Here is a 13,673-nt window from a genome sequence, read left to right as displayed (position 1 = left end):
CAATATCCCATGTAAATAAACACTATGAAAAGAACCCAAGTGAAAAGGTGGTATTTGCAGCCAAAAGTTGGTGTTTTAGAGAAAAATTTTTATAAACCAAACACTGGTCACATAACAAAAAAATATTAAAGGTCAGTCCATCACTGTCAATTGTAGTGCTTCTAATAGGAAGGCTTTTAGCAAAAACATGAAAGCACCCAATAATGTAATTAATTTAAAAAGAAACTATAAGTTAAAATTTGAATCATAAAGTTAATCAGCAGTGTAAAATAAAGATTAAATGCACCCTAGTGCATAAACCAGAAAATCCTCCTGCTGTGATGATTTGCTTTACAAATGAAGGTTTTTCTTTAGGTTAACAAAAGGAAAAGTGAAGATAATGCCTTATTTAGTTTGAAGCAACAGAAAGCAGCTGTGTGTTTTAAAGGACTTTAAAATGCCAACAGAATGCTTTGGGAGAATGTGTACTGCTACAGGTAATACAGATTTTGTAACTGGTTTTTCATTATTTCAAGGAGCTCACATCAAGCTCCACGCTTGCCTCCTACACAGTTTCCATCCCCAACCAAAAATCAAATCAAACTTTGTTATGGCAACCCTAGCAAATGAATATCCTGCTCTCTCCACAACACCTGCAATCGGAAGGGCTTTGTTATCTGCTGAATAAATGAGTAGATCCATCAATATCAATTAAGTTGTCCTACTTTGCAGCAAATGTCAGAAGTCCATTTTGACTATTCCATGTAAATAAAGTCATAAACTCATCTGAGTTGAAAGCCTACCCTTGGTAAGTAAACAGCAGTTTCTTTGGAATTCGGTACTGTGATAACATGCTAGAACAAACTCACATCCAAAGATAGAGCAGTGATTTTGTAGATGATGTTTAAGTTACAGACACCACAATTTCAGAATCATCAAGAGTTTTCACATAAAAATAAAACTTCATCATGCTGATTGCGAAGTGTCCCCAAAGTTTATACACACGGATTGAAAGTTTATACTTCTGCAGGAAAGGAAGGTTGTAGAGGGTGGAAAAAGAAAAGCAAATTCAGGGACATGGCGAAGGCCGGCTACAGGGTTTTGGCAGGAAGCTCGGGAGAAGCTAGCAGAAGAGACCCCACTGCCAGAGATCACAAGGGGATGTGGGCTGGCACAGGGTTAACATGTGGACTTCTGCTGCTGCTTTTAATACTTCTACTATTCTTTCCTTTAAAAACTGAAAGGAACAGAAAGAGGTCACCTCAGAAGAAAAGTAGTTCCTAAAGCAGCAGAGAAGTGATGGAAAGGGCACATGAGGAAAGCTGTGGAGTTTTCCGCGGGGGTGTGACATGATTTCACCACGCACCACCTGGAATCACTGTCTGCATCTAAATAGTAGTCACAAGCCAGCCACCCTGGATTCGGCTTTAAAATAATTCCTTGTAAACAACCCAACTGTCCATCGATGCATGAATGGATAAACAAAATGTGGTCTATACACACAAGGGAATATTATTCAGCTTTAAAAAGGAAGGAAATTATGTCACATGCTACAATACAGATGAATCTTGAGGACATTCTACCAAGTGAAATAAGCCAGTTACAAAAGGGACAAATCCTGTAGGATTCCACTTACGGGAGGTATCCAGAGTCATCAAGTTCACAGAGACAGAAAGTAGAACAGTGGGTGCCAGGTGGTTGGTGGGGAGAGAAGGAATGGAAAGCTCATGTTTAATGAGGACAGAGTTTCAGCTTGGAAAGCTGGGAAAGTCCTAGAGAAGGATGGTGATGATGCCTGCACAGTAACGTGAGTGTACTTAATGCCACTAAACTGTACAGTTAAACTGTGTAAGATAGTAAGTTTTATGTTATGTATATTTTATCACAATAAAAATAATTCTGTGTACACTTATGTAAAGGCCAAGATCTTTCAGGTCGTCTTTTCTCGGGGAATTCTTTTCACATTGGGGGATCCCTTAAGAAATGACTAATTGTGCATATGGCTATCTTAAGGTGGGATATCCGCAGACTTCTGTAATAACTCAAAATAAATTAGATTCAGAACTCACTATGAAAAAGCTCAAATTATGCAGATGATTTTCCTTTTTAACACCCTGTAAATGAAATGAAGTTAAACTAAATTGATGCCTATGATAGATGGTCATATTGTCGAAGTGTGCAAGCTCTCTGCTTGCCCCTCCACCCCACCCATACACAGACGCTCCGAGGAAAGGCCGTGTGAGGACACAGCAAGAAGGCGGCCATCTGCAAGCCAGGAGGAGAGGCCTCCCCAGAAACTGAGTTTCCTGGCACCTTGATCTTGGACTTCCAGCCTCCAGAATTGTGAGAAAAGAAATTTCTATTGTTTAAGCCACACAGCCTGTGGTCTTTGGTTACAGCAGCCTGAGCAGACTCATATAATATCCTTATTGTTTTCCAAATTCATAATTATAATGGAGTATAAGAGTCACTTTGGGCCGGGCGCGGTGGCTCACGCCTGTAATCCGAGCACTTTGGGAGGCCGAGGCGGGCAGATCACGAGGTCAGGAGATCTAGACCATCCTGGCTGACATGGTGAAACCCCGTCTCTACTAAAACTACAAAAAATTAGCTGGGCATGGTGGCGGGGGCCTGTAGTCCCAGCTACTTGGGAGGCTGAGGCAGGAGAATGGTGTGAACCCAGAAGGCAGAGCTTGCAGTGAGCCGAGATGGCGCCACTGCACTCCAGCCTGGGTGACAGAGCAAGACTCCATCTCAAAAAAAAAAAAAAAAACAAAAAGAAAAAAAAAATCTGGAAACCATCCTTGTTTATAAAGGAAACACTAAAAAAACCAACATTCTTTGATTTGGGATAAGAGCCAGAGCCAGAGGGAGTGAAGCATGTCAGAAATGGAAGAATTCTTTCATTAGTTTCAGGGTCCTTTGAGGCCATTTTATAACCATAATCTAGAGCCAGTTTTAAGGGCTTAATCCTGCCCAAATATTCTAATGAATGTCCACGTGATTCAAATTCCATCATAAAGAAATTCACTGGATTTTCAACCTGCTTGTTGAGAAGAGGGTACGCGCTCCCCACGTCCCATTCCTGTCTCTTGGGCTTGAGAGCACGGGAAGTGGATAGTCAGCTTTTCTGGAGAAAGCAGGTTTCCAGATAATGCACAGAGACTTCGCAGCACTCCATATGCATGTGTGTTGGCTACACACAAATGCTGTTTGAAAGAAAAGAACGTTGAATAAATGTGAACCACAGATTGGAAGGGAGGAAAATGGAGAGGAATCGTTTTACCAAACAGCACTTCATCAGGGACTTTTCATCAGCCAGAGACCACAAAACGCAATTGTTCTGTTGGCTTACACACGTGGAATTCACATCTTTAAATCAACGAGCTGTGGTTTGGAAGGCGCCTGTGAAACTTCCTGGGTTTTAATAAGATAGATTAGCAGCACCTCCAGCCCCATCCCACCCCATGCCAGGACTGCGCCCCACGCCTGCCAAATAGCCTTCCTGGGGCACCACCTTTAGCAACTGACTATGAAAATCCTTCACGCCCAGGCTGGTCTTTACTCATCCAGCTGAAATCCACAAACCCTGCATTGTCTTTATGACAATTTCCAGTTCTAATTTATCCTAATGGGAAAGCCTTTAGGCTCCAGGGCACCACTTCTCTTGAGTTATGGCCCCTTTCCGTGACAACTACCTGGATTATGTATGTGCTTAGATTTCACAAATAAAAAGGAAGTGGCAGAACTGGCCACCCATTCCTGTTTCGTTTGGTCTTGTTTCTTGAGCCAGGGTCTCACTCTGTCACCTAGGCTGGAGTGCAGTGGCGCGATCACAGCTCACTGCAGCCTCCAACTCCTGGGCTCAAATGATCCTCAAGTGCTGGGACTACAGGCCTAAGTCATCGGGCCCAGCCCTGTCCCTGTTACTCAGATCTCAAAAAGGACAGTAATCACAGTCAAATGTGAAAACAGAAGGCGTGAGCTCAGGACATGTAACACACACACAGCACGGTACACAAATAGACACACACACAGTACACCACACAGACACACAGCACACCACACACGTGCACACACAGCACACCACACACACACACACAGCACACTGCACAGATAGACACAACACACACAGCACACCACACACACACAACACATTGCACAGATACTGCACAGATAGACACACACACAGCACACCACACACACACAGCACACTGCAGACACCACAAAGACAGCACATCACACACACACAGTACACTGCACAGATAGACACAACACACATAGCATACCACACACACAGCACACTGCAGATAGACACAACGCACACAGCACTCCACACACACACAGTACACTGCAGAGACACACACACAGCACACCAGACACACACAGCACAGATAGACACACACATACAGCACACCACACACACACAAAGAGCACACTGCACAGACACACACACAGCACACCGCACAGAGCACACTGCACAGATAGACACAACACACACAGTGCACCGTGCAGAGAGACACAACACAAACAGCAAGGTGCACAGATAGACAACATGCACAGCAAGGTGCACAGACGGACACAACACACATAGCACACCACACAGCCACGCACAGCACACTGCACAGATAGACACAACATACAGAGAGCACACCAGACAGACATACACACAGCACACTGCACAGATAGAGACAACACAAACAGCACACAACACAGACACACACACAGCACACTGCAGATAGACACAACACACACAGCACATCAGACACACACACAGCACACTGCACAGACACGACATACACATAGCACCTTGCACAGACAGACATACAGCACACCACACACACACACACACAGCACACTGCACAGATAGACACAACATACACAGAGCACACCACACAGACACACTGCACAGATAGACACAACACACACAGTACACCACGCAGATAGACACAACACACAAACCACGGTGCAGATAGACACGACATGCACAGCACGCCGCATATAGCCACACAGACACACAAAATACACAGCCACACACAACATACACAGCCCACCAGAGACATATACAACATACACAGCATGCCGCACAGCACGTGCACAGACACACACAACATACACAGCCCGCCAGAGACACACAACACACACAACACACACAGTACAGACAGACACATGCAACACAACACGCCACAAACACAGACACACATAATGCCACAGCACGTTGCACAGACACACACACACAACACAGAACATGCCACGAAAAGAGGACAAGAAGATGCATGGCGTCTTTGGGGGTTCTCAAGACTCCCAGGGGAAACCGTCCAACCACTTCCAGGCTGTAACAGGGAGCAGGGAGTGGGACAAGAACCAGGAGGGAGACAGAGAACTCGCTGGGCATCCGCAACAGCACCCAGGCCAATCAACGCAGCGTGCCACAGCACTAAGGGGGAGCACTGAACTGCCCCACTGCACAGAGGAGGAGACAGAGGCTCAAAGGATTGAACTGACGGCCTGGAAGTCCCAGGGCTGGACTTCTCTGCCTTTCATCTCTGCGCGTCCTTGTCCCAGTGGAGGAAACCTACAGGGGCTTCATGGAGGAGGTGGCACTTGAGTTGGCTGGAGAACTCAGGCGAGGAGGAAGAGAATGAGGCTGTAGTTTAAGTGGTGCCAAAGGCAAGGGATGGGGGCAAGATGGGGCGCTGAGGTTTCTAAAAATGTGGGGTGATGCCCTCACAGTGCTCACGAAAGAGGATGTGGCCTGGAAGGAGACATGGTGGTCAGAACAGTATGCCCCATCCATCCGAGGGAAGAAGGGGCCACCTGGGCAAGACAGCCCTGCAGACTGCAGATGGCACTCTCCTGGTGCAGCACCAAAATACTGGACAACCGGTTTGAGTGGGACACCAGCGTCCCCCAAGCTGGGGCAGACTTAACCCTCATCTGCTGAACCATGTGGGGTGAGGAAGGTTGATCCCAGGGGAAGGAACAGGGAAGTCATGCAGGGACCCACAGAGAAGCAGCTCCACACCCTTCCTCAACGGGCCAATTTCACTCTTCTGGCCACTTCTTCAAGAACAGCTGCAGTGGCGGTGCACGCTGGCTCCATGAGTGCCCTGGTAGCAAGAGCTGCAAGATAAGGAGGCCAGGGTCTTCCCTGTCAGACACGCCAATGCACCAGCCTACACTCTCCACCCAGTTCTGGGCCATCAGGAACTGAGGTACAGGAGCACCTCCTGGAAAGATCATGGAAACTACACTTCCTGCCTCTCTGTGCCATTTTCTCTAAGCTTACTAAGGGTACACGCCCCTGGCAGAGGATGCTGAGAACTTCTAACAGTGCGAAAATCCTGACAAACTCCCATGACCCGCCAGATGCCCTAGCCCTTCCCCAGCCCGTTCTATCATCCTCCTCCAGCATTACTGGGCACACATGTTGTATTTTAAAAGGAAAGAGTAAAACAGAAGAACAGAGTTCCAGGCCCCATTGTGCTCCCAATTAATTGTAAAAAACCCTCTCTGCACCAGAGTTTCCTCAGCTGTGAAATGAGGGTTTTAAACTATTTATGAGGTTTCATCCACATCAAAAAATCTGAGATACCATTTTCCTGTTGACTTCCTGTGTCAATTCTAGGGAAAAACACTTGACAATAACTTAACTAAGAACTTGCAAAAGAATTGTGGAGGGAAGCAGAGAGACAGAGAGGATCTGTCCGCAGCCACCTGAGCACTGGAATGCATCCAAAGGGTGCAATATTTTTGCCATAATGATTAACATTTCAACTCCAGAGAAATTCAAGTTGTACCATCATGAAAGCAACATGAAAAATCTAAAATATGTTTTCAGAAGCCACTAAGCATGACAGAGAAGCTGCAGTTTCCTCCTGATCCCTTTTCTGTTTTTAGTGAGCTCTGAATTAACCGGGCCAAGAGCCAGACGCTGACTAATACATGCACCAGCATGAGCATTGCGGGTGTTCCAGTGCCAGAGGATTCCAAACCGCTTCATTTGCTCCAGGGTTCAAGGTCTGTGTAAGGAAGCTGGTGTTTCCTGTATTACCAATATCAAACAGCAGGGTTATATATTGAGGTTTATTCAATGACATATTTAAAAATCCTTCAAAACAAGTGGTTCTTACAGGTAATTTTGACCCCCAGGAAACATTGGGCAATGTCTAGAGATACTGTTATTTGTCAGGACTGGCGGAGGAATGCCACTGGCATCCAGTGGGTGGAGGCCAGAGATGCTGCGGAACATCCCACAACACACAGGACAGGTCCTCTTAACAAAGAGAATTATTTGACACAAACGTCAATCAATGCCAAGGTTGTGAAACCCTGCTTTTAACTATGCCAAAATGTCTGTAATTATACAGATAGTATATCCTATACTTTCACTTTCCAAACCACTTTTAGTCTTTACAAAGTAATACATGTACAAAATTTTTTTTAAAATGCAGGTGAGGCAAAAGGCTCCTTTTATTAATTACATGCCTTTTAGCACCATCTATCACCAATTCCACTTCCCAAAGCAACCACTTTCTTGGAGCTGTTTCTGTTATTGGTGCTGTTCCCTGCATAGTGACTTCCAAGTTTGTTTTTTTGTTGTTGTTTTTGTTTTTTGTTTTTGGGACAGGGTCTCACTGTCACCCAGGCTGGAGTGCAGTGGCACCATCACGACTCACTGCAGCCTTGACCTCCAGGACTCAAGTGATCCTCCTGTCTCAGCCTCTCCAGTGGCTGGGACCACAGGAGCACACCACCATGCCTGGCTAATGCTTTAAATTTTTTGGTAGAGAAAGGGTCACGCTATGCTGCCCAGGCTGGTCTCAAACACCGGGGCTCTAGTGACGTTCCCGCTTCGGCCTCCCGAAGTGTTGTAATTACAGGCATAAGCCACCATGCCTGGCCAGACTTCCATGTTTCTAAATAGTCTGTTTGTGATACTCTAATCAATACATCAAGTTTAGATATCACTTACTGATTTTCACACACATAGGTAAGGATTGTTGGTTTTTTACATTCCCACCACCAATCTTACACTGACCCTTCCACGTTTTCGATAGCTCATATAACTTTTTTTTTCAGCTAAATCAATATTTCACATATATTACTTTGACAATGGAATGGGCACTGCTGAGTGGGCAATATAGTATGATTATGATTTTTTTTTTTTTTTTTTTTTTGAGACGGAGTCTCGCTCTGCCACCCAGGCTGGAGTGCAGTGGCGCCATCTTGGCTCACTGCAAGCTCCACCTCCCGGGTTCACGCCATTCTCCTGCTTCAGCCTCCCGAGTAGCTGGGACTACAGGTGCCCAACACCACGCCCGGCTAATTTTTTTTGTATTTTTAGTAGAGACGGGGTTTCACCGTGTTAGCCAGGATGGTCTCGATCTCCTGACCTCGTGACCCGCCCGCCTCGGCCTCCCAAAGTGCTGGGATTACAGGCGTGAGCCACCGCACCCAGCCTATGATTTTTTTTTAGTATACTTTTTGTGTTCTCCTAGAATTATTATTTGCCTCTGTTTTCATTTCAGTTTTCTTTGTACTCTTTGATAATCCTTCCCACACTCTCCAACAATCTATTACATTTTTTACATGATCAAAACTCTTGGATAATTTGTCAGTTCCATGCCCTTCCTCCCGCAACACCCACCCACATCCCTCCCACCTTCGACCAATACACTAACACCAAACTTTCTCCTAAAATTTCTTTTTTTTTTTTTGAGACAGAGTCTTGCTCTGTCACCAGGCTGGAGTGCAGTGGCGCGATCTTGGCTCACGGCAAGCTCCACCTCCTGGGTTCAAGCGATTCTCCTGCCTCAGCCTCCCAAGTAGCTGGGACAACAGGCACGCGCCACCACGCCCAGCTAATTTTTGTATTTTTAGTAGAGACGAGGTTTCACCATGTTGGCCAGGATGGTCTCAATCTCTTGACCTTGTGATCTGTCCACCTGGGCCCCCCCAAAGTGCTGGGATTACAGGAGTGAGCCATCTCGCCTGGCCTCCTCCTAAAATTTGTCTCCTGCTCTAGTCTGTACTACAAGAGCCACTGCCCTGAAAACACCTTTGTTTGAGAATTCCTTCTGCCTCTTTCTGTTTCCAAGATCCCAAACCTCCCCCTTTCTTGGTTTACTCCCTCACTTTGGTGGGACATATTCTCCATAAGTTTCCTAGAAGTGACATGTGAAAGTATTTTCAGTAGAGACGAGGTTTCACCGTGTTGGCCAGGCTGGTCTTGAACTCCTGACCTCAAGTGATCCACCTGCCTTAGACTCCCAAAGTGCTGGGATTACAGGCATGAGCCACCACGCCCGGCCCAAACATCTTTATTCTATCCTTAATTAATAATTAGTGGAGGAACACCTTCAAAATTCTGAGGGAAAATTATTTTCAAAGAAGTCTATGTTCAGTCTGTTTTCTAACTTCACGTGTTGCTGTTAAGAAATACAATGTCATTCTGATTCCAAGATCCTTCGTGTGACTCTTTTTTAAATCCGGGAAGTGCATAGATACTTCCTTTATGCTAATGTTCTAATATGTCATGACAATGAACTTTGATGTAGTAAATTGTTTTGATGTGGTTAATTTTTCTGCATTGCCCCCTAGTCCCTTGGTATAAAATTTTTCTTCTTCAGATTTAAGTTTTCCCTTTCTTCCCTGGAATTCCCAATAGGGAAATATCTGAATAACCATTGTTCTTCTGTCCAATAAAACTTTCTGCACTACATCTTCCTTGTCTAATAAGGTATCCACTGGCCACATGTGGCTACTGAGCACTCAAAATGTGGCTAGTGTGAGACAAACTGAATTTTACATTTTACTTAATCTTAGTTAAGCTTAAATACTCATGTACAGCTGGTGGCTACCATATTAGGACAGCACAAATCCAAAGACTATGCCAAAAATTTTTTAAAATACGAAAATCAGGGCCTTTAGCACCAACTCTCAGGTGGTATTCAATTTGTTTTCAGAAGAAAAAATTGAGTATAATTTCCAAATCCCACCATTACTATTTTCATAATAAGGTTCTGTGATTTCATTCCTTATGGCGTCCTTCCTTCCTCACAGGAACTCAAGGGCCTTGTAGAATGGTTATCACACAAGTGGAAAGGTCCCTTTGTGCATAAACATGGATTTTATTGCCCCTGAAGTATAAACAGTACTCCTTCAAGTACTCCTCCTTTTTTCCCCTTAGGGGAGCTGCTGAGGTTCCTCACGGAACAGTAACATGTATTATAAGAGAAGCAAGTATTAAAAAACACCTAAAATGAACAAGGCCACTGAAGGCAACTTCCTTATATGGCAAGCCGACTACTCCCCGTGTCTTTCCGCAAGCTGTGGTAAGAAACGCTGCTTCTGTATACTGGATGCTCTGGGTAGGGCAGAAGCCAGAACGGCAGCCAGGGCATTCTCCTTGCATGTTTCACTCATTCCATAAATACCACAGATATAGCAAACTGTCGTCCAAGCATTCTAGTGCCAAGGACATAGACAGAAAGTAGAATAAAACCAAAGTGCAAAAGTTCTGTATACCCACTTCAAAGTACATGAGCCTCCTGTTCCATTCGAATGACTGGAAACCACTTTTCATTAGAGCTTAGTGCCTAGAATACAGTGGGCATGTAATAGGTGTGTACTTAAAACAAATACAGAGCAAGATCAAAACCCAAAGGCAATCACTGATTTTTTTTTTTTCTGCTTTGAAGAAAAACAGACATATTAATGCTGTATATATTGAGAAATAAATATTCAGGAAAAATCTTTCATTTTTCTATGTAAAGATTCATGGAGAAATACATTTTCTTAGTCTACTCTTCAGGCAAGTCATTGAATATCCATTAGTTCCTATAAAATATGGAATCTTATTAAGCTTGTAGATTTTACAAGTTCAGGGTAAAAGTATGAGCCACTGAAATAAGGAGAAAAAGAGACATTAAAGTCACACAAACTTGATTTCCTCTTTAATGTCTTATGAGGCTTGATAAACAATATTTCATGCTTGTACAACTGGCAAAATCAGTACTTCTAAACAAAAAACAAGCCCACAGGAAATTTTAACAAGCTATCAGCTGCATAATATGTTTGTAAGCACTTATTATTATTTAAATTACAGCAAAAGATTAAATTTTATTTAGTGGCATGAAACTAATCTTTAGTGAGAGAAAGAAAAAGAATCACATTTAAAGATGATACATTAAAGTATTAAGGTAATATGATCTTTCCAATTCAGCAAATTGTCAATTAACAGCAATTCAAATCTGTCCCCGTAGATACAACTCTGAACTTTATGAAGATAATCCTCACGTAATACCAATCAGTTTTTTGTTCAGAGATGACATAGCGCATCTTGAGGTAGAAAAGAATCCTAATTAATCTCTTCCTCATGTCCCAAAGCACTGTCTCCACATTTTGCAATGAGGATGAAGCTTAATTTTAAATCTAATTGTCAAGCACTTTATTTATTCACTGTAGTTATGATAAAAGTTTCTGAACATCATATGGTCCTGGTACTCACGTTTCAGTTTCCATCATTTGCAAAACACTTCTGACTCCCTCCTCACCTGGAAAGGTCAACAGTACTGTCTTCAATTTCATTTAACAAAACAGCCAGCAAATCCCTTCAGGAAAGCAATTAAATATGCTCAAACAAATTCAACTATTCACTTACATAAGTATCTGAAAACCTAGGTCACCAATGTCTATAGAGAGGGAAAAAAATAATCAGCTAATCCAAGAACTGGGTCCTAAAGCATACACATGCACAAACACATACGTGCACACATACATATGAACACGTATATTTCTATTCACAAACCAAACTTGCTTCAACCGCCACCTCCATATTCATGCCATCGGGAAGAGCTGCTATCAGCAGCTTCACCTGTATGAATTTCACAAGGCTTCACTTTCACCCCAGAGAACATGTTTCTATACTCATCCTAGCAGAAGAAATCAGAACGTACAGAGAACCCAGATGTCACTCTTCAGACTTCAACGCTCCTGTCTCCATCACAGTAAAGTCCCCTGGCATTCTTCTCTATAGCCTGTTTGGGTGGTGGTTAACAGTTCCCCAATTCTCTCCTCCTGCATTACCCCACACCACCAAACAACCCCAACACTCATACAAATACTGGAGCTTCACTCTACTGAAAGACGCTGCGGAACTCCTGTAAAGCAGAGACCCGAATTAGCCAACTTTCTGATTCTTACCCTTCTGGAAATGGGTGCCTTCATAATGACTTCTAAGCCCCAGCCTTTTCCAAAAATGGAAATTTTTAAAAGGTGGTGGTTGTGGGGGGTCGGGGTGGGGTGCGGTTTGAGTGTCAGATGTCATGGTGATGGGTCATTGGGAATTCTGTTCTAGCCTACACAGACAGTCAGCCCTGGCTCCAAGCTTTTAGGCCTGTGTTCCCAACAGCGGGTGACTGTGCCCCCTCCAAGAGGCAGTTAGCAATGTCTGGGGATGTTTCAGGTTGTCACAACTTGGGGTGGGAGATGTTTCTAACATCCTACATCAGCCACTTCGGTAAGAATGACACAGTTCTCTGGGACTTGCGTATTTCACTTTGGGTGGTGGAAGGAGTTGGGAGGACCTGATTGTGCAGGTGTCATCTGTCGACAACAGGAGGTGGGATGAACACAGAAAAGGGGTTTTCCATCCGTAAAAAGCCCCGGCAAATCACCTTCATGAATGGCCCCGCAATCTGTCTACACCTGCTTCATGAACACTGCATGAACACTGCGGAATCTGTCTGGACCTACTCCCCATCTTTGGTCCACGCTATTAGCAAGGTCTCCTAACTGGTTTCCCATTCCTCAGCCTTGTACCCTGTGAGAAAACCCACGTAACCAACTCTTAACAACTCTCTGCTACAATGGCCCACCTCACCCTCTGTGACACCTTACCAGCTGTCCATGCAGAGCTAAGTCCTCCAGGCACGCACCTCTGATTCCAGAGTGAAAGTGAGAAGCAACGCAGGGAGCTTGGCCTCAGAGCCTTTTCTGGATGTGACGCGAACAGATCCTGTCACTCTATCTGGGATGCAGCTGGCCTGGCAGCAAACAGCACAGATGCTGCGCCAGAGGGACTGAGGGCGAATCACCATCCACCCCGTGCCAGCGGTAGTATCCTTGGGCCAGATGTCCTCAGTACCTCCTGTTCTCACCTGTACAGAGAGGATAACTGAACCCTCCCAACAAAGTTAGCAGGTGGATGCTATCATTCACACATGGAAAGAGCACAGAATCCCCCTGGCATGCAAGGAACACTACATAAACATCGCCTAGAATTGCCTTTGTCGTGGAACTCCACAGGTGACATAACTAGTTTGCAATCTTGTCAGTTACTAGGTGCATGGTCCCAGACAAGAACCCATGAGTCTCATAAAAATGGGGTGAAGGATATCTAGGTTATGCAGCTGATGGAACAGAGATATTATATGTAAAACACGCAGCCTAGCTCCCGGCTCATCAAAACTATAAACCGGAGGGCATTATTACCAGCTATGATTAACAGAAAAACCGGGGCTGCTGCACTGATGACAAAAAAGGCTGCAGATATTTCCTTCTTATAATTCGAGAAATAACTGATCCATTCTTTCTGCAGTAATCCTCATTTCTTGGGACACATTTAAGAACTTTTACTTCAAATACTTCGTTTTCATTTCCTGCTTTCCAACAAATGTTATGAAGTATAC

The 13,673-nt window shown here is 44.3% G+C and overlaps 1 protein-coding gene across 4 annotated transcripts in view, besides 4 other annotated features; it reads right to left on the bottom strand.

The window, feature by feature from the left end:
* Positions 1-13,673, bottom strand: part of TBL1X (transducin beta like 1 X-linked) — a 256,446-nt gene that overhangs the window by 146,310 nt on the left and 96,463 nt on the right. The gene's annotated exons all lie outside the window — the stretch shown is intronic.
* Positions 3,503-4,333: an enhancer, noted in NCBI's record as "H3K27ac hESC enhancer chrX:9537138-9537968 (GRCh37/hg19 assembly coordinates)". NCBI's record gives its function as "activates a minimal SCP1, AML or CMV promoter by ChIP-STARR-seq in naive and primed H9 embryonic stem cells {active_cell/tissue: H9 hESC(naive and primed)}" and the evidence as "EXISTENCE:reporter gene assay evidence [ECO:0000049][PMID:30033119]".
* Positions 4,334-5,165: an enhancer, noted in NCBI's record as "H3K27ac hESC enhancer chrX:9536306-9537137 (GRCh37/hg19 assembly coordinates)". NCBI's record gives its function as "activates a minimal SCP1, AML or CMV promoter by ChIP-STARR-seq in primed H9 embryonic stem cells {active_cell/tissue: H9 hESC(primed)}" and the evidence as "EXISTENCE:reporter gene assay evidence [ECO:0000049][PMID:30033119]".
* Positions 12,439-12,938: an enhancer, noted in NCBI's record as "H3K27ac hESC enhancer chrX:9528533-9529032 (GRCh37/hg19 assembly coordinates)". NCBI's record gives its function as "activates a minimal SCP1, AML or CMV promoter by ChIP-STARR-seq in naive H9 embryonic stem cells {active_cell/tissue: H9 hESC(naive)}" and the evidence as "EXISTENCE:reporter gene assay evidence [ECO:0000049][PMID:30033119]".
* Positions 12,939-13,440: an enhancer, noted in NCBI's record as "H3K27ac hESC enhancer chrX:9528031-9528532 (GRCh37/hg19 assembly coordinates)". NCBI's record gives its function as "activates a minimal SCP1, AML or CMV promoter by ChIP-STARR-seq in naive H9 embryonic stem cells {active_cell/tissue: H9 hESC(naive)}" and the evidence as "EXISTENCE:reporter gene assay evidence [ECO:0000049][PMID:30033119]".

The sequence above is a fragment of the Homo sapiens genome, chromosome X (assembly GCF_000001405.40).
Source record: "Homo sapiens chromosome X, GRCh38.p14 Primary Assembly".
In the NCBI taxonomy this organism is placed as follows: domain Eukaryota; kingdom Metazoa; phylum Chordata; class Mammalia; order Primates; family Hominidae; genus Homo; species Homo sapiens.
This window is presented reverse-complemented; position numbering and strand designations above follow the sequence as displayed.